Below are 26,361 nucleotides of genomic sequence, written 5' to 3'. Positions count from 1 at the left end.
TCTCTGTCACATCCCATCATTTTCCTCTATTCTGTTTCTCCCAAATCTCAATGTCCTGTCACAAGTTTATGTCTCATGCGTGGACCCTTCCAATGTGGACGTCCCTCTCAGACATTAGCCTTGCCACATGGTGACTCAAGAGCCTGGGCTTCTTCCAGATGGGGCCTTGCTGTCCAGGGGATGTCAGAGTCTTCAGACAGGAGAGGGGAAAAGACAGAGAGTTGTGGTGAATACAACACACTTCCTTGGTGAGCAGCAGCAACCACCTTCTTCTCACCCATTCTCTCAGCAAGAACCAGTGGCCTGTTCCCACCCAGATGCAAAGACACCTGGGAAACACAGCTCCTGGCCAGACAGCCACCCACTAAGGACAGCTCCGCACATGCACACAGGTGCCCACGGCCAGCTGGCCATAGGTGCAGGATAAACCTTTGCTTGGTTCATTCATCAGTGCACCAACTAATGGAAGACCAAGCCAGCCACTCGGAAGAGACTTCTTAGGCGGCTGTTGAAATGTTGAGCTGAATCAGAAACCCGCATGATTAAACCGTGCGAGATAAGGATCTGGGGGAGAGTTCTCTGCTGACATATCCCCCTTTCGTGACCACTCTCCTCCCCACATGTCACCACCAGACGGATCACCCAGCCGGGGGCCTCAGAGGAGTCCCAAAGGCCAGCACCCTCAGCCTCTGCCTCTCCCAGATGGAGAAACAGGCCCAGGGTGGGATCACAAGGCAAATTCGTGGAGGAGGAGCCAGGCCCGGCTGCCTGACCCCAGGCCATCTCTGGGGCCAGGGACAGGCCGGGCCCTCATTGTTCAGCTAATGACTGCAACCCCAGGCCTGTGGAGCGTCTGTGTGGGGCCGCTGTATAAACATTTCCTCTCTGGCAGAGCAGGAAATGAAGGGATGAGGAGGTCAAGTGACTTCACTGGGGCTACTGCTGCCCTGCCCACCGTCCCCGCCCATGCCTGCCCACCACCCTTCCCAAGTCCCCTGAGTCGGGTCAGAACCATAGCCAGGCAGGTGTCCCCAGTCACCTCCAGCACCCCAGGCTTGATTCTTGCTCCGCCACGTCCTGGATGGGTGTTCTTGGGAAAGTTGCTCAGCCTCTCTGAGCATTAGATTCCTCACCCACTGACGCCCTTCCTCCTGGAGTCAGGTAGTAAGGACGAAATGACACTGTGTGGCGAAGCTTCTGGCAGGGGCCTGGCCGATGGTGGCCTCTCAGTGCTTTCCTGCTATTGTAAATTCTCTTTGATAAAAGAGTGTTGACTGGGTTGCACGCTTTAAATGGTTAATTGTATGTTATGTTAATTTCACTCCAGTAAAAGAAAAGATTTGTGTTTTTCTCCACTGTCTGCCCCTCATCCCACTCACACTCACTCACACACTCGCAGACTCACTCGCACACACACTCGCTCACACTTGCATACTCATATACACACACTCGCACATGCTTGCACACTTATACACACTCATCCTTGCACACACTTATACACACCTACACACACTTGCACACTCATACACTCATACACACTCACTCACTCACATAAGCACTAGCAGATCCACTGTACCCCAGGAGGGACCTACAGACACAGGGTGGACGCCGAGATAATTCCCCAAACTCTCTCCCTGGAACCCCACTGACCTTTTCAAGGGGCTGTCAGAGGAGAAATGAACTCACTGGATTAAGGCAGAGAACAGGACTCAGGTGGAAGAGGCCAGGCTGGGGGCATTCTGATAAGTGGGGAAGAGGAGAGACATCAGCCCCTAGGACCACACCCAGACCTGTGGGGCCGCATGTCAGGGAACCCTGGACAGTCCTGGGCAAGCAGGGGCAGCCAGGGTGGGAGGGGGGCTCTCGAGTGAGAGGAGAGAGTCCACCCTTGTCTGTTATCACATTGAAAACTCACACCTCTGCAAAGGTGGACTATGTCCTCAGCCTGTAGCTGGGTAAACTGAGGCTCAGAGACACAAACTGACCTCAGATCACATGTCCAGTTAGTGGTAGCGCCAAGAATCAGCCTCAGTTCCGCTCCACACCCAGAGATAAAGGTGAACTGCAGATCCGCCTAGGTCCACGATATCCGACATAATTAAGCTTTCAGAGGCTTGTACTGCCCGAGGCACCCAGGCTAGGAGCCTTCCCCTCTCCTTTGACTCTGGACTTTTGTGCTAAAAGGAACTTCAAGAGGAGTTAATATGGCATCCCATTTAACGGAAGAGTAAACGGACCAGAGAGGTTAAGTGATTTGCCCAAGGTCTCACAGCTAATTAGGACCAGACCAGACCCACAGCACAGGCTTCCTGCGTGCCCCCCTTCCCCGCCCTCCGCAAGCGGGGTGACTCCCAGGCTCACTGCAGGTGTCTCCAGGGCAGGTCTGCTCCCACAGATTCCGTGACCATGACACCTGCAGGCATTGCTGGGCTGCACCTGATCCATCAGACCTTCAAACACCTGTAGAAACCGAGGTCCATTCCTGAGCTCATCAAAAATCTAACCCACGCCCCCCGCAAGTCCTTCAAAATTCTGGAAAGAGAGAAGGTTTTTTGAAACCTAGAAGGAAACAATTGCCCAATTGCCTGTGCATCAAATCAAGTGATTTTTTCCCCCACTCACACGGACTGTGGGATTTTTTTTTTTTTTTTTTTTTTTTGAATCTCCCATCAATTTCAGAATTTCAAAGAGGAAAAAAAAAGTGAGCCCTTCTGGGCAGAGCAATTCCAAGCGGCTGGGAATCAGCTGCCCTCTGCTGGACAAACGAGGATGTGGCCAAGTTGATGGTTCTTGCTCACGGGCGACTTAAAGAAATATCTGAGCCCCTTGGCGATCCCCAATATTATTTCAGATCCAGTTCAGATCCAGCGTGATAGGATTTGTGCTTTTTATAGCAGCTGGATTTGTATTTTCTGAAAAACTAACAGCTACCCAGAACCCAGAACTGCTTTTAAACTATAATCGCGCCTTTATTGGGCCACTGCTGTCTGCTGAGCCCTGTTCTAGGCACGGGGTATGCAGCTGTGGCCTGGACGGAGTAAACCCCGCCCCGTGGAGGCTGCCTGTTCTAGTTGGGGCCACAGACGATCAGCAAATTAACAAAGCAATTAACAAAAAAGCCAGGTGGTTGTAAATGCTGCGAAAAATAAATCTCTGAGGCAGGTACGGAGTGGTCGGGGTGATGGCTGATGCTGTGTGGTGGGGGCAGGGGGGCAGGCAGGCAACTCTGAGCCAAGATCTGAATGCAGGGAGAGCGGGAGTCACCTGGCGGTCTGGGGGAAGAGTGCTCCTGGCAGAGGAAACAGCCGGTGCAAACGCTTGGAGGATGGGGTGTTTTTGACTGGTTGAAAGGAGTGTAAGAGAGGGCCAACATGTCTGGGACAGAGGGACAGAGGGGAAGCGGGGAGAGAGATGGTCAGGGGCCATCTCAACAGCCCCCGTGGACATTTAAATCAGAGTTAGGTCCCAGTAAATATTGGAGAGAATCACTCCATCTCCGGGTGATGCTCTGGCTTTTGTGAATTGAGGGACTCCTTGAGGATGGGACCACAGTGGGAGGCTAGGGTGGGGCAAGAATACAAACAGGAATCCCAGAGCTTCCGGGAACCAGGAGGACCTGGGAGATCATCTAGTGAAGTCCAGCTTCCCCAGCTTTAATCATAGCAGTGGCGACAGCAGGTCTGACTGGGGAGCCCTGACCAGCCGAGCAGCCCTTTGTGCTGGGTTGAATGGTGTCCCTCCAAATGTGTGTCCATCTGGAACATCAGAATGCAGCCTTTTGGGGAGCTAGGGCCACGACTGCGGATGTAATTAGTTAAGAGGAGGTCATAGTGGAGGAGGCTGGGCCCTAAATCTGAGACTGGTGTCCTTACAGGAAGTCCATAGAGAAACACATACACACACAGAGAAGGCGAGGTAACGGCGGAAGCAGAGGCTGGGCAGTGCTGTCACCAGCTAAGGAGCACTGAGGAAGCCATCAGGCACCTGGAGCTGGAAGAGGGAGGAAGGAGCCGCCCCCAGGGCCTTCGGAGCAAGCACCACCCAGCAGACACCTGGTTTTCAGACGTCCGGCCTCCAGGCCTGTGAAATAATAAATTCTTGCTGTTTTAAGCACCAAGTTTAGGGTCATTTGTTACAAGGGCCACAGGACACTCGCATGCATGACCGCACCCACGCAGCAGCCCCCACAGTGAGAACTCTCTCTCCTCCCATTTCACAGATGAGGCTAATGAACTGGTCAAGGCCCCTGAGCAGTGATTTGACTCTACACCAAATGGGCAGCTGCTCCCAGCGGGGACCATGGGGGAAGGTGTCCGAGGTTGGTGGCTCTGTGCTGAAGGACAAGGAATTCTCTCAGCTCCTGCTTTCACAAAGCAGGAAGATCTGCCTTCTGGGCATCAGCCGTTTCCCCACTTGCCTGGCTGCCATTGCTCTCCAGAGCTGCCCCCTCCTGTTATGGCCCAGAGGAAAGAGAGAAGACTGACTCAGACCTGGCCCCACCTCTGGGTTCTGAACAAATGGCCCAGGCTGCAAAAAAGGGGAGCAGCACCCACCTTACCCCTGACCAGGTATCTAGGGCGACCTACAGCAAGGCTCGCCTCGCCACCTGTCACAGGTGCTGTGCCTCACATGGCTGGGTGCTTTTGAGAAACAAGCACTAACCTTGACCGGGCACTGTGCTTTGGCCAGGTACTGAAGTACTAAGCACTTTATACGCTTCCCTACACTGAATCCTTGCAGTGATCCTATGCAGCCCGCACAGTTAAAGAATGACCTGGTTTGCCCATTCCATTGCTCTGCACCGTCTCTTTATTGGGCACCTATTATCTGTGGAGCCTGGTTCTAGGCACTAAGAATGCAGCTGTAGCTAGGCAGGAAACTGGATGAGAAGCTGAGAATCAGAGGTTCAGCAGCTTGCCCAAGGTCACATAGGTCCCTCCCCTTGGACCTGGGCTGCCTGTGAACTGCTACTCACGGGGGGAGTGTGGTGGAAGTCATGCCTTGTCTGCCAGTCCCCAAGGTCCCCATACTTTGAGGAGGCCCAACCTGGGCATGTGGAGAGGCCATGTGCAGAAGAACTGAGCCCGCCCGCTCCAGCTGACAGCCTCGGCTGAGTCCCCGCCCAGCCCCAGCCTCAGCTGAGGCCAAGTGGAGCTGTAACACACCATCCCTCCAAACCCTACCCAAATTGCAGAATAATGAGAAAATCAATTACACGGCTGCTGTTCTCAGTGCTAAGCTTTGAGGTGGTGTCACAGGAACTCTTGGTGTCAGTGCCCTGAGCCTCCGAGCGCTGTCCTGGCCACAGCCTCTCCCTGACTCTCAGGCCAGGCTCAGCTTGTGTGTCCTGGCTCCCACCTGGCCACGCACATAGAGGTGGCCCTTGTGGGAAGCTGCACCAGGGGAGTAAACAGCCTTCTGGAAGTTTCTGAGCACGCAGGGTGGGGGTGGGCTTCCTCTCCGCATCTCAGACTCTCACCCGGCTTCTTCTAAACTCTGCCCAGTCACCGTCTGCTGCCCTGCTTGCCTGTCCCCCTTGCCTACCCCAAATCCGGCCAGACTGGGCCCGGCGTGCTGGGCAGAGGCCCCGGTGTCCAAGGCCACCCACCGCCCTCATGCAGCTTCCTCTCAGGAAGAGGCCCTGCCTCCCTCTGGCTTCGGTGGTCATGACAAATAGAGAACAGCTGGCCCCTGGCCCCAGTGTCAGAGGCCACCAGCTTGCACCTAGGGGCAGGCAGCATCCGTGAGCTCGAGCCGGGACCCGGTCAGGCGGGCAATGGCTCAGCACATTGGTCGCCTGGAGGAACAGGAGGCAGGGAGGGCACTTCCTTTACAGCAGAGGCCAGAGTGGCCACAGTAGCTGCACCGACCTCGCTGGGGACCTGCGAGAAACGCCGTCTCAGGCCACCCAGACCTGCTGACTTGGGCTCTGGGCTTTCACACACTGCTCCACAGGCTCCTGTACACAGCACGGAGTGAAACCCAGCCTTGAAGCCCAACTCTGGGGCCACCCATGGCTCCCAACCGAACCCCACAGCCCCTGTCCCTGGCTAAGCCACATCCACCACTCACTCTGCAGCCTGGGACCAGCAGGGCATCCCAGACAATCACTGCAAAGGACATCCGTGCTGGGGAAAACAGCCCAGTGCCTGCCACACAGCAGTACCCCAAAATGATAGCATTAGCCAAACAGCAATGCTTATCATCAAATAATAAAAAAGGAAAATACATAAGGTTGAACCACACAAAATTGCCACTGTTTGTCCATTCAGGATGTAGAGAAATGGCAATTTCAACTACTTTAAACCAATATTTATTTTATAAAACTAACAGATTATTGCTTTCACATATGCTATATAGCATATATTATATTACATATTAACTATATTAATACCTTATTGTATTAACCGTAAAACTGTATATTGTTAAATTATAATTATATATTAATAATTAAGACATAATATATTAATAAATATGATAGCAATGTATTCCAATGCCCTTCTTTTTAAACAATGGCTTTATTGAGTCCTAAATGTATATACCGTAAGCGTCACCCATTTAAAGTGTACAAAACAGTGGTTTTCAGTACATTCACAGACGTGTGCAGCCATCAGCACTGTCCAATTTTAGAGCATTTTCATCACCCCAGAAAGAAACCCTGGACCCATTCACCGTCACTCCAAACCCCCAAATCCTTGGGCGCTGGTGATCACACATCTGCCTCTGTCTCTACATATTGACCTGTTCTGGACATTTCATAGAAATAGAATCACACAGCTTGTGGCCTTTTGTGTCTGGTTTCTCTCACTGAGCATCAGTATTTCAAGGTTCATGTGTGTTGTAGTGCGTGTTCATTCCTTTTCATGGCTGAGTAATATTCCACGGCAGGGATTTGCCACATCTTTGTTTATTCATTCACCTGCTGGTGGCCATTTGGGCTGCTTCCACTTTGGGCTATTGTGAGTAGTTCTGCAGTGAACATTCCCAGACGAGTTTCTGGGACGATGGATATTTGCGTTCCTCTTGTTTTCGCATCTCCCAGAAACCCAGAAGGGGAATTGTTGGCTCCGAGAGCAACTACATTTAGCATTTTGAGAGCGACGACATAATGTTAACGATGTCAGTGCTCACGCCTACTTCCACGTAGCAGTTCCACTCCCAAAACTTCAGTTATTTGTGTCTAATCCCCACAATAACTGTATGAAATACGTGTGACATGACCCTGTTCCCACCCCACAAACGAGAGACTGTGCTAACGTCTACTTCCACGTAGCGGTTCCACTCCTGAAACTTCGGTTACTGTGTCTAATGCCCACAATAACTGTATGAAATACCTGTGACAAGACCCTGTTCCCACCCCACAAACGAGAGACTGTGCTAACGTCTACTCACACGTAACGTTCCACTCCTGAAACTTCGGTTACTGTGCCTAATGCCCACAATAACCGTATGAAATACGTGTGACATGACCCTGTTCCCACCCCACAAATGGGAAACTGAGGCACAAAGCGACTGAGTAGTTCGCCCAGCTGGGACTCCAGCCCAGACTACCATATTCCAGAGCCCACGCTCAAGCCCTGCCCTATCCCCTCCGTGAGTGACCTCTGAGTATTGACCACAGCCAGCACTGGGCTAGTGCCGGGCACCTACCCCAGGGCAGCTCCAGGCCCCGACCTCCACAGAAGCTCATCCCAGGTGGAGGCTGCCCTCATCTTGCTGCCCTCCTCATCACACCCCTTGCCCTCTTTCTCTGCCTGACCTGCAGCAGCTCCCAAAGTCCCCCATGGCTCCCACCCCTCCCTGTCTGGGAGGCAGTGGGGCTGTTATTACCTGATTCCCATCAGCACTTTCCAACCACCCACCCCCAGGAGAGGAAAGCACTTCTCAAACACTGACATCTGAATGTGCCAGGGAGGAAGAGGTGCGGGCCCCGCTGGGACTCCCTGGCTCCACCACCCCTGGGGGTCTGAGGCTGCTTCCAGGATAGCTGGAGACACAAGGACCTGCCAGGGTGGGCAGTGGGGCTGCAGGAGTGAGGTGTGGCCACAGCATCCCAGGTTATGAGAAGGACACGTTTGAAAGCAAATGCTGGGATGCAGGGCCCTGGAGGTGTGGCCTAGCGTCATGGCTGGGACCCAGCGGCGGAGTAGGGTGGCCCGGCTCAGCTGGGACGTGCATAAGAAGGGCCAGGTCAGCCCACCACTCTTGTTAGAGACAGCAGCGCCCATTCACCAAACAATCCACGTGCGCCAGACACTCGCCGTGGGGCTTATCCACCCTCGCTCAATTTTTAAATTTTTATTATGAAAATTTCCAAACGGAGAGAAAGTCAGAAATAAAATCACGTGAATCTCATAGAGCCACAACATAGACTCAACAGCTCTTAGCTTTTTGTCAAATATCTGCTAAGCAGATAGATGGTTAAATAGAAATTGCTAACACATATCAAGGTATCTCACAGACATCCCGACGCTTCAGCCCTAGATCCTATGGCAGTCATCTCCAAAAACACAAAGGCATTCTTCTGTGTGACCATACTGCTATTAGCTCACCCAGCAAAATTAACAATAATTCCCTCATGTCATCTTGATATGGGAGGGGGGCAGGGAAGTGCTGAGTAGAGAAGGGTGTTGCCTCTGGTGAGGGCTCCACCCCCAGGCCTGTGCCCACGGACCTAGATAAGGACAAGCATTTCTGTTTTCATGCCCCAATGTTGCATTTTCCAAGACCTCCCTGGCCCACCACACCGCCTTCCTGTGTCTATAAAAACCTCAAGACGCTGGCGGGCACAGACACAAGTGGGTGGACGTCGAGAGGAACGCACCGGCGGAAGAGCACACCAACAGGCACTGGCAGGCACCGGCAGGCCATCGACTGGCGAACAACATAGACGCCGACAGGAATTTGGCTGGGATGGTGGGAGGACAGTCCAGCCGCCGAGCAGCCGGACTCCAGGGACACCTTCCCACTCCCTCTTCTGGCTCCCCATCCATCTGCTGAGAGCTACTTTCACCATTCGGTGAAACCTTGCACTCATTCTCCAAGCCCACATGTGATCTGATTTTTCTGGTACACCAAGGCAAGAACCCCGGGATTCAGAAAGCCCTTCGTCCTTGCAATAAGGCAGAGGGTCTAATTGAGCTGATGAGCACAAGCCATCTGCAGATGGCAAAACTAAAAGAGCACCCTGTAACACAGGCCCACTGGGGCTTCAGGAGCTGTAAGACTTCACCCCTAGACGCTGCTGTGCGGTTGGATCCCCACAACCTGCCCGTCTGCCTGCTCTCCCTAGAGGTTTGAGCAGCAGGGCACTAAAGAAGTGGGCCACATTCCCAACGCACACTCTGCGAGGGGGATAAGGGAGCTTTTCCCGTTTCAGTCTGATACCCAGTCCATATTCAAATTTCCCCCAGTTGTTCCCCAAATATCTTTTATGGCTGCGTTTTAAAATCAGGATGCAGTTAAGAACTGAACGCCGTATTTGGCTGTTACGTCTCTGATTTGACTTAAGATCCTTCAGATGAAGAGCACCTCCCCAATCATCAGGAGAGACACAAGACAGAGAGGATTGCATTACTTACACGTCCTGAGAGTACACAGCATTCCCAGAGGCCACATGCATGGAGGTCAGGGAGCGCCTGGAGCGAGGAAGGGACATGGGGCCACGCCTTGACTATCATCCAAACAGGTTTCCAGCAGAGGGTTTTAAGTAGTGGGTTTGGAGCAAGCAGGCACGGGTCCCAGGAGGTCACACAGTGACTGAGAGGCAGTCATTGAAAATCTGCACAGTCATAGTCATGCTGGGTGTTGGGGTCAGGAGGCAGTCAAACAGGCTGCATCTAGCTGTCCCATAGTGGGGTGGTCCCCAGGAGGGAGTTGTATGACACAGATGTCTGGATCCATCTTACTGTGGAACTGGAGCGGGTGGAGAACTGGAAACTGTGTCAAGGGTGGCCGAGCCCTGCCTCTGGTAGAGGAAAGTCCAACTTATATTTCAAACGGATCCCAAGGGCCAGGCGCAAACACAGTGTCTCATGCCTGTAATCCCAGCACTCTGGGAGGCCGAGGCAGGCCGATCACTCAAGGCCAGGAGTTGGAGACCAGCCTGGCCAACATACTGAAACCCCATCTCTACTAAAAAAATACCAAAATTGGGAGGCCAAAGTGGGTGAATCATGAGGTCAGGAGTTTGAGACCAGCCTGGCCAACATAGTGAAACCCTGTCTCTACTAAAAATACAAAAATTAGCCAGGTGACGCCTGTAGTCCCAGCTACTCGGGAGGTTGAGATGGGAGAATCACTTGAACCTGGGAGGTGGAGGTTGGCAGTGAGCCAAGACCACGCCACTGCGCTCCAGGCTGGGTGACAGAGTGAGACTCCATCTCAAAAAAAAAAAAGCTAGGTGTGGTGGTGCCTGCCTATAATCCCAGCTACTCGGCATGCTGAGGTAGAATTGTTTGAACCAGGGGGCAGAGGTTGTAATGAGCTGAGATCATGCCACTGCACTCCAGCCTAGGCAACATAGCAAGACTGTCTGAAAAAAAAAAAAAAAAAAAAAAAAGAACCCTAAGGCAACGTAACTTCATAAGAACCTCTACAGGCTTTTTACCCTAGAACCATCTCCTACCCTCCTGTTTACCCCAACTTTACCCCACAGTGACACCTGTTGAAGAGACCAGGCAATGGTGTGCAGGGTGGCCTACCTTCATCTTCAGCACGAACTCAGACCACAGATGAGGAAACTGAGGCTGCAGAGGAGGGGGTGGTAATGCAAGACCCACCATTCACAGACACGTCCATCCATCCTGGCGAGAAGGGGGTCCAGTAATGCCCTCAGCGTGGGGCCCACAGGACACCAGTCAGCTAGCCAGGGCCTGCCTGGAACAGAGCCACAGCCACACTGAGATAAAGTGCCCCAAAGGATATTGGCCAGAGCCACCAAAATCCCTCCAAGGACAGTTCAGAATGTGTGCTGAGGCCAGGAAGCGTGGCTGCCCAGGTGGATACCTGGGCGTGGAAGGAGAGGTGAGTCAGGAGAAAGGTGGGAATCCCATGCTGTGAGCTGGAAGCTCAGCTGTAGGCCGTGTTGCCGGGGCTGAGGATAAGCCCCAGCCAGGGGACCTGAGTCCCAGAGGGAAACCTGAAGGAGGGGGGCAGCAGTGCAGACAGTGCAAGAGGGCCTGGGGAAGTCTCGGCTCTGGGAACAAGGAATCACCAGGCCTGAGGCCCAGAGATTCTGCCTTCATTGGTCTGCACGTGGCCAGCACTCTGGGTAGTTTATTTAACTTCCCAGGTGATTTGAATGTGCCTTCCAGGTGGGACTGCCTCTGGGGATGGCCCGAAGGCCGGGGAGATGGGAGAGAAATTAACTCCAGATGCAGGTAGAAAGTTCCAGAGCAAGGAGAGAGGGGCAGACTGAGGATCAGGAGAGGCCAGATTGCACCCCAGGAACCACAGGGCCATGGAAGGGTGGAAGCTGGGGAGTCTCCCTGCAGTCAGGGTCCCTGGGACAGCTCGAGGGACTCGGGGGGACACATCTGGGGATGGAGGAGGAGCCAGTGGTGGAGCAGGTTCTCCACCCAACGGACAGACCCTGGGCTGCAAGGCTGCAGGACAGCTGGGCTCTGCCTGGAGTTACCATGTGTTCAGTGGGTGTGGTCTGGGCCCACTAGGATACGAGCTCAGAGAGCAGGGGCTGCCTGAGGCTCACTGCTGGATCCCAGCAAACAGCCGGCACATAGTAGGTGCTCAATAAACAGGTGCCACCTTGGTGAGAAGCTCAAAGAGGAGTTGACAACCACACAGCCAACGACAGACAGGACAAGCAGAGGCCCAGGCCTCAAATGAGACCCAAGGACCGGAAATGTGCCGGCCAGCCCACAACTCCCTGCGGCTGCTACAGCTCCAAAAGCCCAGCCTCTCTGGCTCTCCCCACCCCATCTCTTCCCCTCCCCACCCTCTACCCTCCCTGCTCAGGCTTCCTCTTCTTCCCTCCCCCCATCTCCCCCCACACTCTTTTATTCTCCTTCCCTCTCCCTCCCCTTCCCTCTCCCTCCCTCTTCCTCCCTCTCCTTCCCTCTCCCTCCCTCTCCCTCCCTCTCCTTCCCACTCCTTCCCTCTCCTTCCCTCTCCCTCCCTCTCCTTCCCTCTCCTTCACACTCCTTCCCTCTCCTTCCCACTCCTTCCCTCTCCTTCCCACTCCTTCCCTCTCCTTCCCTCTCCCTCCCTCTCCTTCCCTCTCCTTCACACTCCTTCCCTCTCCTTCCCACTCCTTCCCTCTCCTTCCCACTCCTTCCCTCTCCTTCCCTCCTTCCCTCTCCTTCCCACTCCTTCCCTCTCCTTCCCTCCTTCCCTCTCCTTCCCACTCCTTCCCACTCCTTCCCTCTCCTTCCCTCTCCTTCCCTCTCCTTCCCTCTCCTTCCCACTCCTTCCCTCCTTCCCTCTCCTTCCCTCTCCTTCCCACTCCTTCCCTCTCCTTCCCTCCTTCCCTCTCCTTCCCTCTCCTTCCGCCACATGCTGAGGCATCACTTTTCCAGGACACTGGCCACACGAGACATGGCAGAGGCAGCAAGTAGACAGCAAAGGCACCAGGAAGGCAGAACCCGAGGGGCAGGTGCATAGGCAGCATGGGCATCGGGAAGGGAATTAGCGCGTGCAGAGGGAGGGAACAGGGAGATCACAGAAGTCTCAGCTGCTGGGCAACCAAGGATTACAGGAGAAATAAAGTCACCCAGCAAACCGGTGGCACATGTGTCCTTGCTTCCGGGGGCTCAGCTGTGAACAGTACAGCCACCCGGGAGCGCTAAAATCCTAGTGGCGGTGAGCGTTCTAGAAACTGATGGCACAGACACTATCGGGCTCCACCCACGTGACCCAGATCCCTGTGAAGGTTTTTGCCTGTTCCTTCCCCAGCTCCTGTGTGTTTCTGTTTCTGTGGGCCTCACCTGGAACTCTCTTCAGAGAACCGTCCTTGTGCTTCTAGGACCACGTGGCGCCATCCCGGCCTTCGCCAGGGACTTCGGAGTGGGGCTGTGAAGGCTGGCCCGCCCATAGCCTGCCCTCCAGAGCCCTGCCTGGTCAGCCTGCGGCAGGGCCCCCAAGAAACCACTGCTTGCTTGGTGCCTTCTCTTCCCTCTGCTTCCTGGCAGCGCCTTCACTGCCTTAATCATTTGCACACAAATCCCACTGGGGGATTCTCTAGGGGAGCCAGTCCCAGAGAGCCACCTGGCACACACTCTTCCAACCAGCAGCCCCAGGTGGAAACCTGCTGTCCTACGGTGCTTGGCCGGCACAGCCAAGTGGGTGACACGGGCCTGAGTTTGAACCTCAGCCACCCACCTGCAGGCTGAGTGACCCTGGGCAACCTTTTCCCCCTCTCTCTGCTCAGTTTCCTCAGCTGCAAAATGGGTAAAATCCTGGTACCATTCTCAGTAGATCGTCATGCGACTGACAATAACAATCCATATGAAGTCCTATTATTGTTGTTCCATTACTTCAAGTCCTCATTGATTTGCTTGTTTTTAGAGTAATTAAATATGCCCTAGCCACTTAGAAGCCATTTAGAAAGACCTGATTTATTCCAGATCTGGAAATCATAAGTGGTGGTGACTTTATCCCTATGCTCTCACTGAAATCTGTAGACAAGACCGGCGAGGGAGGATTCCACCAGACGAGGAAGCCCAGGTGCAGAGGGCAGGGAAGAGGTCACCCAGCTAGCAGGGGTGACGTGGGCTGCCTTGGGACCGGTCCATGGCTCCCATCCCCTGGAAGATGCTAGAGGATCCCCGGTCCATCTGGGATGCAGCCCAGGAGACTCCTGGGTGCCACAGGCAGTGCTTGCTGTTTTGCTGGAAGGAGTTCTTGCAGGCCGGAAATCTGGGTCTGTTGTCTTTGCTCGCATGTCTTCTGCTGTTCATCAACTTTGGAAAACAGCTGCTAAAATATCGCTTCCGCCTCATGGTTCCCATGCAGATCCCTCCCAGCACTGGGGAAAGTGCAAGCCTTTCAATGGCTCACAACCCTCGCCTTTTCCTCTCCCTTCCAATTCAGGAACTGAGTTTAGTTCCTTTCCCCAAAAATGCTGGGCAAGAGAGGAAGCAGTTTCTGCACACGGCAGCCAGCTCGGGTGGGGGCCTGGGTGGGCTGCTGGCTTCCTGCCTGCCCTTTGCCCCTGTCACCCGTCCTCCACTAATGAACTGACTGTCTTCAGCTGCACATTCCCACTGCTCCTACCAGGCCGCCCACCTGGATTTCCCCATGCATCAGATGGGAACAGGTGTGAGGGTGACTGGGGGCGGGAGAAGGAGTCTCCTTTGAAACCAATGGATAAGCTGCACTCTCCAATGACAACCGTGTGCCCCTCCACAGAGGGCACCGTCGGACCACGCTGGGCTCTGGCACTCAGACCGTCGTAGGCAGGAGATTTTTGACATGGCCATTCTCCTGCATCTGCTCAGTGGAGAGAAACCTAGAGCAAAACAAAGGTAATAAACCCCCATAACAATATCAATAAAAGAACAAGTTGCAGTCACTCCCTGTGAAGCACTTCCTGGCCGGCACCGCGCTGTGCACTTACCTCTTCTTCCCTGGCATTTGTCTAGGGCTGGATTGTACTCCGACTCCGTGCCTCTTCCAATGTTTGAGTCACCCAGGAGCTGTCACCCAGCTCACATGCTCCTAGGAATGGGGAGCTGCTTCTTTTCGACGGCTCTTCCACGTAATGAGATAAAACGTGCCTCCCTGCCCCTTCTCCCGAGGGACCTTCAGTGCCCACAAAGCGAGGCTGGTCCTGGCCCATGAGACACTCGAATGCAGGGACCTTCCTCCCCAGGCTCCTCTCCTCAGCCCCTTCACCCCTCCCTGAGCCTGTCGCCATTCTGCCCACCTCCTCTGGACGGCAGAAGCCTCCACTGGCTGTGCCCATCCTCCAGGCCCAGAGCTTTGCCAAGGTCATCTCAGTGCCCGCAGCAGTGCTGCCACATGGGCACCATTATTAGCCCACCTGTGCCAGAGGGGACGCTGAGTGTCAGAGAGGGGAAGACGCGGGCCCCAGGAGCCAGCCAAGTCCAGAGGCCATGCCTGGCCCTTAGCCTGCAGCCCAGAGGCTAATAAGGAAGGAGGCTCTTCTGTCAACTGAGGGCTCCAGGATCTCCCAGAGCCCCTGTTGAAGGGCAGGGAGTCGGAAAAGGCGGACAGGGCACCGTGGGAGCCGATCCGGAGCGCTCTCCATTGCATGTCCTGCAGGGCGTGAGGACACCTGGAAACCCTCCCCGACCGAGCCCCTGCGCAGGGGATGAAAGGGAGAATTTCTTCCACCCTGGAGTCCTTCTCACTGTCCAAAAGGAGTTTTGCCCTCTGTACTTAATGCCTCTTTGAAATATTTTTTAAATGGAAAAATGAAATAATACGAACCTCTGGAGGGCTGAGACCTCAGAATAGCCATGTGTCCCCCACCCCACAGGGCATGGCAAAGGGTCTCTGCAGAGAGGGATTTTAATCTGTTTGAAAGAAGAAGGGCAAGGGAGGAGAGGAGTGGAGAGAAATGAGAATAGCCCAAGGAAGCCTTCTGGAAAATTTTATTCCGAGCAATTCCTGAGGGAAGGCCGGCTCTGGGCCAGGGGTCAGGGGTCAGGGAGGCATCGAGTGCTGTGGTCCCGCGGAGCAGGGAGGGCCCTGGAACAAGCCAGAAGCTGCCGAGGCCTGCGTTACTGCTTCTCTCTGCAGAGACTCCGCTCACGTAATCACTAGCTTTCATGCTGACCATGGCAGCCTTTCTCAGACACCAGCTGGAACAGACGATGGAGGTTTCTAATTTAGGATATGCTCTGGCCCTGGGCCACCAGCTCCATCCTCACTCCCACCCCCACCCCCTCACCTCCACCCAGCTTCAAGTGAGGTCCCCCACACAATGCCTCAGCTAACGCTGCAGGAAGGGCCAGTCCCAGTGGGCTGGGGGAGTGTGGCTCCCAGCCTGGGCTGCTGCCCAGCCCTGCCAAGCAGAAGAGCCTCCCACTCACAGGCCTCCCTGAGCGCAGAGGGAGGGAAATGCTCCCAGCAGCTGGAATCTTTCCCCCTGCAGGTGCCAGAGCCCTCCCCAGAGCACCTCCACCCACATGCCCTCAAGAATAGCATGGAGGCTCTAGGTTCTCATCAGTTCTTTGCTTCCGATAAAACTGAGTGGGCAAAGAAAAACCCAGGGTAGGGAGCCAACAGGAGTTTGCTGGTTCCTGGGATACAGCCTAAAGGGTGTCTCACACCCTGATGGGGGATCCAGTTCCTACAGCGGTCATAGATTGCGGGGCTTTACCAATCAACAGCCTTAACAATGTCCACACCCTCTGATCCTGCCCCACCACTGCTGGGAAACCAGCCTAAAGCAGCCATTTGATGAGCAAAGATGAAACTGGAGGATGCTCAACTGAGCATGGTTTTGATAGCAGATAGTGGGAACAAGACTCAAAGTCCCACGGGCAGAATTGGATGCTGTGCATGAGGGTACAGACACAGGGTTCGGTACCTCCGCAGCCATTGAAAGTGTGGGTATAGAAGTGGTCTTGTGGATGGGCAAGTATGTTTTCAAGATGCTGTTAAGTGGAAAAAGGAAATTACAAAATAGTAAATGCAACATGACTCTGACTTTGTAAAATACGACATATACGTGAATATGTATGAAGAAAATGACTGCAGCATCATTTTTTACATACTCCAAAATATTAATGGGACTCATACAGTAAAATGCACTTGTTTTGAGTGTATATTTCAACAAGTCTTGACAAATTTAAATCACCCATGTAAATACCACCACAAATGACATATAGAATATTCATTCCATCACCCCAAAATGTCCCCTAGAGCCCCTTTTCAGGCAATCCCTGCCCCCTCCCCCAATCCTGGCCCCAATCAACAGTTGATCTGCTTTCTGTTACTAAATTAGATTTGTCTTTCTGGAGTTCAGATAAGTGGAATCATGCAGTATTTTCTCTTCTGGGATAAGCTTGTCTCATTCAGCCTGTCTTTGGGATTCAGGGATATTATATGTAACAGTTTATTCTTTGTCATTGCTGAGTACTGTTCCATTGTGTGGATATGCCACGATTTGTTTACCTGTTCACGTGCTGATGGACATTTGAATTGTATCTAGTTTAGGACTATAATGAAAAAGTAAGTGCGAACATTCATGTTCAAATCTTTCTGTGGGCGTATGTCTTCATTTCTCTTGAAGAAATGTCTAGGAGTTAAACTTCAGGGTCACATTGTAAATGTGTGTTGAATTCTGTAAGAAACTGTGCCACTTTTCCAAAGCAATGGGAGCTGCAGTTGCTCCAATCCCCGCCAACGCTTGATACTGTCAGGCTTTGTCATTGGCCGTTCTAATGCATATTTATCTCATTGTGTTTTAATTTGCATTTCCCTGATCACCAATGATGTTGAACATCTTTCATACGCTTATTGGCCATCCATATATCCTTTTGTGTGAAGTGTCTTCTACTATTTTCCCCACTGTTTCATATATTTGCTGGTTTTTTGCTATTGAGTGTAACCAGTTTTTGTTTGTTGTTGTTGTTTTGTTTGGTTTTTAATATACTAGATAAAAGTTTGTTATCACGTATCCTATTTTCTCCCAGTTAGTGACTGGGGTGGACTTTTTCATCTTCTTAATGTTGTCTTTTGAAGAACACAACTTTTAAAGGTGGACTAAGTTCAATCATCAGTTTTTCTTTCATGGTTTATGCTTTTTGTGTCTTACCTAACAAATCGTTCACTATCCCAAGGTTGTAAATACTTTTTTCTATGTTTACTTCTTGAAGTTTTACAGTTTTGACCTTTATATATAGGTCTATGATCTACTTTGATGTAATTTATTAAATGCTGTGAGATAATGTTTAAAGCAAATTTTTGTCCATAATCTGTCCAAAATGGTAGCCACTTGCTACCTTAGCTATTGAGTGTTAAAATGTGGCTGGTCTGAATGGAGAAGTGTTGTAAGTGTAAAATATATGCCATCTTTCAAAAACTTGGAAATAAAAAAATGTAAAAATGTCTCGTTCATAACTGTGTTATTGATTACATGTTGAAAATGATAATGTCTCAAATATGTTGGATTAAATAAAATACATTTTAGAAGGCTTGAAATCAGGTGATGTAAGTCCTCTCATTTTATCCTTGTTTTACAAAATTGTTTTGGCTATCCTAAGTACTTTATATTTCCATTTAAATTTTAGAGTCAACTTGCCTGTGTCTTTTATTTTTTAAAAGACTGTTGGGATTTTAATAGGATTACATTAAATCTATGGATCAACTTAGGAAAAACTGACTTCTTCAAATCAGTGAATCTTTCAGTCCATAACCAAGATCTATCACTCTATTTGAGTTTAGTTTCCTTAATTTCTCTCTGCAATTTCTCTCAAACCAAAAAACTCAAGGGTTTTATGGTTTAATTTATCCCTAAATACTTTATGGTTTTGATGTTATTTTAAATGATCTTTTAAATTTTTTATTTTTCAATTATTAATTGCTGCTAGAGTAGACCCACTTACCTGCAGGGGATAGATGCCAAGACGCTAGTGGATGCCTAGAAGTGCAGATACTACCAAACTCTAAATATTCCATGTATTTTTCCATACATACTTACCTATGATGAAGTTTAATTTATAAACTGGTCACAGTAGAGATTAACAGCAATAAGTAATAATCAAATAGAAGGTGGGCATGGTGGCTCATGCCTGTAATCCCAGCACTTTGGGAGGCCGAGGCGAGCAGATCACCTGAGGTCAGGAATTCAAGACCAGCCTGGCCAATATGGTGAAATCCCGTCTCTACTGAAAATACAAAAAATTAGCCAGGCATGATGGCAGGTGCCTGTTATCCCGGCTACTCGGGAGGCTGAGGCAGGAGAATCGCTTGAACCTGGGAGGTGGAGGTTGCAGTGAGCCGAGATCATGCCATTGCACTCCAGCCTGTGAGACAGAGTGAAACTCTGTCTCAAAAAACAAAGAACAATTGTAACAATATACTATAGTATTAATAAAATTTTTGTGAATGTGCTGTCTCTCTCAAAATATCTGATTGCACTATACTCACCTATTACCAGACCACAGTTGCTCATGGGCAACTGAAACTGCAAGAGCAAAACTGTGGTAAGGAGAAACTATGCTGTATAGAAACATAATTGGCGTGGTTTTTAAAATTGGCCTAATAGGGTGCTAATACTGCACTCATGTATTATTAGTTCTAGAAGTTTTTTCTACATTCCTTAGGGTTTTCTTTTTTCTTTCCTTTCTTTTTTTTTTTTTTTTTTTTTTTTTTTTTTTTTTTTTTTGAGAGATGGAGTCTTGCTCATCTCCCAGGCTGGAGTGCAATGCCGCAATCTTGGCTCACTGCAACCTCCACCTCACAGGTTCAAGTGATTCTCCTGCCTCAGCCTCCTGAGTAGCTGGGATTACAGGGGCCTGCTTCTGCACCCAGCTAATTTTTGTATTTTTAGTAGAGACGGGGTTTCACCATGTTGACCAGGCTGGTCTGGAACTCCTGACCTCAGGTGATCCACCCACCTTGGCCTCCCAAAGTGCTGGGATTACAGGCGTGAATCACAGTGCCCAGCCAGGGTTTTCTATGTATACCATGATGCCATTTAGGAAGAATGACATTTTTTTCTTTCTCTTTAATCAATATTTCTTTGTATTGTCTTATCACATTGGCTGGTACCTCCAGTAGACTGTTGAATACTATGTGGTGAGAGGGGGCATCTTTTCTTAGCTTCGGATCTTAGGGAGAACACATTCAGTCTTTACCATTAAGCACGATAGCAGCTGTAGTTTTTTCGCCTATCAATGAATCTTCATCAGGTTGAAGAAGTTTTCCGCTATTCCTAGTTTGCTGAGAATTTTTATCATGAATTGGTTCTGAATTTTTGGAAGTTTTTTTCTGCATGTATCGAGATAAATGTATGATTTTTTTCTCCTTCTTTCTGTTAATATTCTGTTATTTTCATATGTTTTACTATCCATTCCTGAAGTAAACGCTACTTGATAGTAGTAATCTTATCCTTTTATATATTGCTGGATTCAATGAGATAATATTTGTTATGGATATCTGTGTCTCTGTTTACGAGAGATATTAGCCTGTAGTTTTCTTATTTTGTAATGTCTTTGCCTGGCTTTGGAATCAGGATAATGCTGGTCTAATATTTAATTCAATGAGTAGGTTTATAAATATTCATTGATTTTTCCCAATATATTTGACAACAGGCAGCATTTCTCTGCCTTCAAGTCTCCAGTGGCTTTTTATCAGCAAAGATTTCCAAAGTCCTTGGGGATGATTTTCTCATCCCTGCCTTAAACAGCACAGCTATTAAGGGACCAGTTTACCTTCAAAGGTCACTGATGCCCTGAGTGAATCTTGCTGGACACAGCAAATAAAGAGCACAATGTTCAGATGACTCTCGTGGGCATTTGGTTCTACAGAACAAACTGTCTCCCTGAACACCTGGCTAAGACAAGAGGCAGTGGAATCAGTCAGTCCTGGGTGAGCATCTTGCCTCCATCATGATTAGTGTGACCCTCTCTGAGCCTTGGTTTCCTTCTCTGTAAGATGGGAACCATGCAAGCTATTCCTCTGCCTGGGGCATTCTTCTCATGTCTACACAAAGTCACTCCTACCCATTAGATCTTCACGCGCTGGTGGGCTCCTTAGGCAAGCCCACCTTTTTTCACTCGCCCTTCCATAGGGAAGTTCCACCCAGCTAAGCCAATCCCCTCTTCATAACCACTGTGTCCTAGAATAGAGCACCATTTGGTTTCCCTGTGATTATTCGGTCAATGTCTGTCTCTTACCACTATATCATAAGCTTCATGAGAGAAGGCATGCCGTCGGTGCCAACAGCATTTAACACAGCTTTAAACATATTCTAGATATTGAATATATATTCAAATGAATGAATAGCCTATATCAAAGATGGGTTGTAAGTGTAACATGAGGTAATGCCTATAAGGGGCTTCGAGGAGCGCCTGGCTCTGAGAAAGCACGTTCTACCTATGACACGTCATTTTCAACAGCTAACACCAGGGACTGTCCCAAGCCCCAGATCCCACAACCCTTTTAGGAAAAGTGACCCTAGATACCACTGGGCTGACTGTGACCACTGCCAAGGAAAAGGTCTGTGCTGTCAACATCCAGGAAAGGTATTCTTCCAGAAAAGGAATCCACAGACCTCCCCCACCAACAATTCAAGAACTCCATGAAATTAAATGAAGGTTCCTCTTTTTTTTTTTGAGATGGAGTCTTGCTGTTGCCCAGACTGGACTATAGCGGTGCGATCTCAGCTCCCTGCAAGCTCCGCCTCCCAGGTTCACGCCATTCTCCTGCCTCAGCCTCATAAGTAGCTGGACCTACAGGTGCCCGCCACCACGCCCGGCTAACTTTTGTATTTTTTAGTAGAGACGGGGTTTCACCGTGTTAGCCAGGATGGTCTCAATCTGCTAACCTCGTGATCCGCCCGCCTCGGCCTCCCAAACTGCTGGGATTACAGGCGTGAGCCACCGCGCCCGGCCTGAAGGTTCCTCTTTATTTTAACTAGCCCCGTGCTGATACTTAGCACTTTTCTTTTCGATGATGAGTGTAGGCACAAGCCACAGGGGCATTAGCAGTGGCTGTGACTTTATCACCAATAGAATCACAGATGCTTTCTTAACATCTCGAGTCATTACAGTTCTCTCAAAGCGCCGTTTATGCTAATCACCACTTTGCAATTATGGTACTTAGACTCCAGCCCTGCTTCTAGATCTTGTCATCTAATCTGCTAATAAAGAAACCCAACATATATATTTTATCATAGTTTTTTTTGTTTATTTTATGCTATTTTAAGTTTTGGGGTACATGTGCAGGGTGTGCTGGTTTGTTACATAGGTAAATGTGTGCCATGGTGGTTTGCTCCACCCATCAACCCATCACCTAGGTATTTAGACCAACATGCATTAGGTCTTTTTCCAATACTCTCCCCTCCCCCGACCCTAGCACCAACAGGCCCCAGTGTGTGTTGTTCCCCTCCCTGTGTCCATGTGTTCTCATTGTTCAGCTCCTACTTATAAGTGAGAACATGTGGTTGGTTTTCTGTTCCTGCATTAGTTTGCTGAGGACAATGGCTTCCAGCTTCATCCATGTCCCTGCAAAGGACATGATCTCATTCCTTTTTATGGCTGTATAGTATCCCATGGTGTATATGTACCAGTCGGTGTGTTTAATGCTTTTGATAGCTGTTTTCTATATCATAGGCTGTGGGTTTTTGTGTAACCCTGCACATTTTAATGTGTGCATTTACAAACATTTTTCTGAGGATGCCCTCATAGATTTAGCCCACCTACCACAGGGTCCATGACCCGGAAAAAGCTCGGGATCTGATCAGAGCACAGTACAGGCACCCCTCCCCCACGAAGTGTCTCACTCACAATGCCACGGGAGTTGATATGCAGTCAGAGGGTGGTCTTTGCAGACAGACAGGCAGACAGGCAGGGAAGACACCAGCCAACACCAGCTGGCAGAAACCAAGTCAGAACAAGGTCCTTTGGGCCTCAGCCTTGGGGTCTGCTGGCTGGGAGCCAGGAGGCAGCCTCTCTTGAAACTAATATCGCAGCCCCAGAAGGCAATGATCCCTGAGACCCACCGTCTCCCAGGCAGCCATCTGCCTTGTTTGTACTGCACCAGACAGGGCCCCTTGCTCCTCCTCAACTCGCTTGCACCTTCAGCCTCCAGGCCTTTGCTCAGGCAGTTCCCAGCCTGGCCCTCCCTCTGCCCCTCCCAGCCTGGATAACCCACCGCTGCCTTAGGCTTCCTTGCGGGTGCTCCTCAGGGGAGCCCCCGGCTGCCCAAGGCTCTGCATGCCCCCGGCACTCTGTATTGATATTGATAGTTATTCTAGATTTATATTTACTCTACATTTTTGTGTCTATTTATTCTATATTTCTATTTATTCGATATTTCTATTGATTTGATATTTCTATTGATATTGACCATGTACTCTATAGTAATGTTAACATTTATAGTTATTTGGATATTTCTACTGACTTTTTATTTTTATTGATATTTACTCTATATTTATACTTACTCGATATTTTATTTGCATTTACCCTACATTTATGCATAGGTTTACTTTATGTTTACCCAACATGAGGCTGGCCGAGTCATGTGCCCACTGGAAGCCTCAGTTTCCTCATTCCCCAGGGCTGGCGTGCGCTTTGGAGGAGCTGACAGGTATAGAAGTCCCTTTGCTGCCCTCACACACTGAGCCCCCTCCCCCAGCATGTTCCAGGCTGGATGGTCATGGCCTGCACACCCCAGGAAGTGGCTCAGTTTCGCTCCTGTCACACCCCCGACTCCCAGAACAGTGCCAGGCACATCACAGAAGCCTCACATCCACCTGTGGGCCACACAGGGGCGGAGGTCCCGGCCTCACTGGTCCCTTTGTTTTGGAGCACAGGAGCCTGGAGTGCGCCAAAGGCAGGGCAGAGCCGCGGAGGCCTTTCTGCGGGTCTCTCCAGAGAGTTCTGCAGCATCCTAGGCTGGGAGCAGCCCCTGGGCAACGAGAGCTGCCCTATTAGGAGAGGACCTGAGCTCCTGGTGCATGAGGACCCCAACAAGGCGGCCCCGCCCAGGCATTGCTGGGACCAAAAGGCTCTGGCTGTCCAGAGTTCTCAGCTTCCACCACCAATTCAAAGTCGGCCTCGGGAACCTGCACACCCTCAACACAAGCAGGTGTTCCAATCCTGATTTGACAAAACGCTGCCACGGCCGGGTGTCAGGGGTAGTTCAGAGGTCAGAGCCCCCTGGATGCATCCAGCCATTCCCCATGTTGACCTCCCTGGGCATCCTCGGCCAGCCCTGAAGGAAAGGGCACCTCCCCAGGCTGGGACCTTGGGTCCCATCTGCACTTGACCATGGGGGCATCGGAGCTCGGCTTGTCGTCTGGCTCAGTGAATCTCCAGAAATCATGACAAGCCCCAGCATCCTCCGGCAGCTCCGAGGACATAAATCGTGATTTATTGCTGCTGCGCCACGTCCTTTTGTGTTTCCACACTGCCTTGGGAGCAATTCCTCACTATGTCAACAGCCAGCCCAGGAGGAGGAAGGGGGTGTGAGGAAGAGGGAGACAGGGCAGCGCGTGTGCCCTTCCCCCAGGGACCCTCTCCCCAGCGCGCTGCTGACCACCTCTGGCCAGGAAGCCCTCTGGCCCCCAAGTCCTCAGGAGGGGCTCGAGGACCCTGGTGTGACCTGGCTCCTGGGCCCACGGGAGGAGCCCTGGGTCTTCCACACTTCCTGTCCTCCCTGGCCCAGCCATCCTGGCTTTATTGGAACCAGTTGCAGATGAGTTTCCTTGAAAGGAAAGAGGCTGATGTCATCTGCCTCTGCTCAGCAGAGGAAATCATTATGGGGAGAGCTCGGCATTGGGGAGCCTTGGCCTTGGGCTGAGAGCATTGCCAGTGCCACCTCCCTGAGTCCTCACAACCACCCAGGAGGTCAACTCTATCACGGCTGCCATTGCACAAGAGACAAACTGAGGCACAGAGGGGCTAGGTAGTCTGCTTAGCATCACAGAGCTGGAAAGGCCCCAGTCGGGATTTCAACCCATGCTCTTCGGGCTCTCAGCAGGCCCCAGGTTGGCCCCTTCGAAATCTGGCCCCTTGGTTTCTGGTCCCTCCCCATGTATTGCAAATCCACCAACTCTCTCTCCTCTGGAGCTAGGATTCTGATGAGTGACAGTCCGCACCTTTCCACGTGGCGCAAATCCCCCTAGGGAATAAAGGAACATCAGCCACTGTTTGTGGAGCGCTTGCCATGTGCTGGCGTCGTGTGCTGTCTCCTTTGGTCCTAACAACCATTACCATCTCCACGCACAGATAAATAACACGGTCTGAGAGGTCAGGGGACTTGAGCAGGCAGAAGCACTGCCAGGAGGGCCTAAGCACATGATCACAGCTCCCACAGCCCCAGTTACAAACACTTACAGTTACAAAGCACTTATTCAGATCAGGGGTTGTGTTACGTGACTTACAGGAGTCACTCATCTGATGCTTACCAGTACCCCCTGGGCGTGTTGCAGGAAGCGATTGCTGCGCAACCTCTGAGAGGGTCTGGGACATCGGTGCTGCATCCCCTCCAGGTGCCTAGCTCTGTGCCTGGCATGGAACAGATGCTCAAAGAAGAGGCACGATTCTAACCTGCTCTTTGCCCTTTAGACACGTTCTGTGTCCCATGAACACACCTTAGAAAGATCAGCTTCTCTTGTGAAGCTACAGGAACAGTCAGCACCTCTTTCCAAAGAATAAACTCTCAGCACGTCTTGTCTGATCCTCTGCAACCCAGCAGGGCCTGAGGGTTTTGAGAAATTTGCCCACACTGAAGGCAGGTGAGAAGTGTGAACCATGGGCATGGATTTGTTCGGCAGGACTGGGGAAGCCCCCCACCGGCTAGGATGTTTCTAGACGTGGAGGACACCCCCGTGTGTTGCTTCAGAGACTGACCTTCTCACAAACATCTGTCGATGGAATGTCTGCTCCTGCCTTCTCCCCGAGTCTAACTGCTATTATAGCTAATGTCTAATGATAGCTAATATCGAAGGATAGCTAATGTCTAATACTGGGCCTCTTGCTAGGTGACATTATAGGGCAGTTCCCGCACAGGCTCCCAGCCGAGCTCTCAGGGGCTCATTTCACCCTCACAATCACTCTGTGGTCATCCTGTCATTGCCTCATTTCACAGACAAGGCAGTGAAGGCCATGAGATTCAGGTGCTCGCAGGGACAGAACCTCGTGTTCCTCACCACTAAGCTTTACCTCCCCCCAGCAGCTCAGGGGCAGTGGCTCCCCACCACTGGGCCTGGCGCACAGGAGGCTTTCTCAGCACCACTCTCCCCAGCTGAGCCCCGGCAGCCTTGGATACCACCTGTGTTCATTATGCCCATTACACAGAAGAGGAGACCAAGGCACAGAGAGGTTCCAAGTCCTATCCAAGGTCACACAGCTGGTAAGTGGCAGAAGTGAAAGCAAATGCCTCGATTAGGAACCTGCAGAGACTCTCAGGTCGTTCGTACTCAGTAAATACTTGTCGAGTGAACAACGAATACGTGAATGGAGTATAGCTGTGCTCACCACTGATGCCATCCTTTCATCATTACTAGAGCTGAGGAGGTGTTGGGCCAAGGGGAGGATGGCCCACTGGCATCCTGTGGCACATACTGCAGGCTTGGGGGGGTAGGAGAGGCAACAGCGCTGCCTACTTGGCCATGGGGTCCCTGGGGCAGCATCACCCAGCAGTCATTGCCGTGAGCCTACTGGTCATTGATATAAGCCCAGGTGTCATCACCATGGACTC

At 51.1% G+C, this 26,361-nt stretch overlaps 1 long non-coding RNA gene across 1 annotated transcript, besides 5 other annotated features; it reads right to left on the bottom strand.

The window, feature by feature from the left end:
• Positions 620-1,388: an enhancer, noted in NCBI's record as "OCT4-NANOG-H3K27ac-H3K4me1 hESC enhancer chr16:86107982-86108750 (GRCh37/hg19 assembly coordinates)". NCBI's record gives its function as "activates a minimal SCP1, AML or CMV promoter by ChIP-STARR-seq in naive and primed H9 embryonic stem cells {active_cell/tissue: H9 hESC(naive and primed)}" and the evidence as "EXISTENCE:reporter gene assay evidence [ECO:0000049][PMID:30033119]".
• Positions 8,064-8,565: an enhancer, noted in NCBI's record as "H3K4me1 hESC enhancer chr16:86100805-86101306 (GRCh37/hg19 assembly coordinates)". NCBI's record gives its function as "activates a minimal SCP1, AML or CMV promoter by ChIP-STARR-seq in naive H9 embryonic stem cells {active_cell/tissue: H9 hESC(naive)}" and the evidence as "EXISTENCE:reporter gene assay evidence [ECO:0000049][PMID:30033119]".
• Positions 14,342-14,841: an enhancer, noted in NCBI's record as "H3K4me1 hESC enhancer chr16:86094529-86095028 (GRCh37/hg19 assembly coordinates)". NCBI's record gives its function as "activates a minimal SCP1, AML or CMV promoter by ChIP-STARR-seq in naive H9 embryonic stem cells {active_cell/tissue: H9 hESC(naive)}" and the evidence as "EXISTENCE:reporter gene assay evidence [ECO:0000049][PMID:30033119]".
• On the bottom strand, positions 15,559-26,309 carry LOC105376778 (uncharacterized). Its single transcript, XR_933855.2, has 2 exons — positions 26,139-26,309; positions 15,559-15,785 (listed from the first exon to the last, which is right to left on the bottom strand). It is a non-coding gene; the product is annotated as an uncharacterized LOC105376778 (long non-coding RNA).
• Positions 22,208-22,841: an enhancer, noted in NCBI's record as "H3K4me1 hESC enhancer chr16:86086529-86087162 (GRCh37/hg19 assembly coordinates)". NCBI's record gives its function as "activates a minimal SCP1, AML or CMV promoter by ChIP-STARR-seq in naive H9 embryonic stem cells {active_cell/tissue: H9 hESC(naive)}" and the evidence as "EXISTENCE:reporter gene assay evidence [ECO:0000049][PMID:30033119]".
• Positions 24,112-24,746: an enhancer, noted in NCBI's record as "H3K4me1 hESC enhancer chr16:86084624-86085258 (GRCh37/hg19 assembly coordinates)". NCBI's record gives its function as "activates a minimal SCP1, AML or CMV promoter by ChIP-STARR-seq in primed H9 embryonic stem cells {active_cell/tissue: H9 hESC(primed)}" and the evidence as "EXISTENCE:reporter gene assay evidence [ECO:0000049][PMID:30033119]".
• Positions 26,310-26,361: the final 52 nt, after the last annotated feature.

Source organism: Homo sapiens, chromosome 16, assembly GCF_000001405.40.
Source record: "Homo sapiens chromosome 16, GRCh38.p14 Primary Assembly".
NCBI lineage: Eukaryota > Metazoa > Chordata > Mammalia > Primates > Hominidae > Homo > Homo sapiens.
Note: the sequence above shows the minus strand (reverse complement) of the source record. Positions and strands in the feature narration are given on the sequence as shown.